The sequence below is a fragment of the Homo sapiens genome, chromosome 20 (genome assembly GCF_000001405.40).
Source record: "Homo sapiens chromosome 20, GRCh38.p14 Primary Assembly".
Lineage (NCBI taxonomy): Eukaryota > Metazoa > Chordata > Mammalia > Primates > Hominidae > Homo > Homo sapiens.
The window spans coordinates 37288764-37289624 of NC_000020.11; the positions used below are offsets into that span (position 1 = coordinate 37288764).

Consider the following 861-nt stretch of genomic DNA (forward strand, 5'->3'; position numbering starts at 1 on the left):
GCTTCTGTCTGAATTACAAGAGGTGTTTCTGTTTGTCTCCTCTCTGCATTGTAGGCTCCTAGCTCAGGACCTGGCATAAAATTAAGGAAATGAACGTGAGAAACACTTTTGAAATAGTGACAACACATCCAGATGAACATTTTGCAGGACAGCTACACACCCGTTTTAGCTCACCAGCTACCAGTTGTGACTGTGCTCTGCTCTGGGAGATGGCTTAGCTTTGCATAGGACAAAATTCTAATCTAGTTTCGCGCAGTTCTTACGAATTTGTTACAATGAGACGGGCCAAGCTATACAGCCCATTGCGATGAATAAGTAACTTTTTTTTTTTTTTTTTTTTTTTTTTGAGGAAGAGTCTCATTCTGTCGCCCAGGCTGGAGTGCAGTGGCGCGATCTCGGCTCACTGCAACTTCTGCCTCCCGGGATTCAAGAGATTCTCTTGCCTCAGCCTCCCAAGCAGCTGGGATTACAGGCGCCCGCCACCACGCCCGGCTAATTTTTGTATTTTTGGTAGAGACGGGGTTTCACCATGTTGACCAGGCTGGTCTCGAACTCCTGACCTCAAGTGATCCGTCCGCCTCGGCCTCCCAAAGTGCTGGGATTACAGGCGTGAGCCACCGTGCCCAGCCCCGAGAAGTAATTTCTTTTGTTTTCTTTTTAATTAAACAAAAATGTTGCTGAAACGAGCTGAGTGATATAGGAGCTTAAAGAATTGACAAGCTCTAGATTTCATTTCCCCAAACCTCTTTGTCCAGCTCGAACCCACAGAACAGGGACAAAAGTCGACAAAACCCAGCGGTGCCTCACCCAGAAACCTGGCAACGCGGGCGGAACAGAGCCGGTTGGTTGCTCAGTGCGCGT

General features: G+C 48.0%; 1 annotated feature.

Annotated features, from left to right (window-relative positions):
• Window positions 680-789: an enhancer, noted in NCBI's record as "active region_17833". NCBI's record gives its function as "activates an Ori minimal core promoter by ATAC-STARR-seq in GM12878 lymphoblastoid cells {active_cell/tissue: GM12878}" and the evidence as "EXISTENCE:reporter gene assay evidence [ECO:0000049][PMID:35858748]".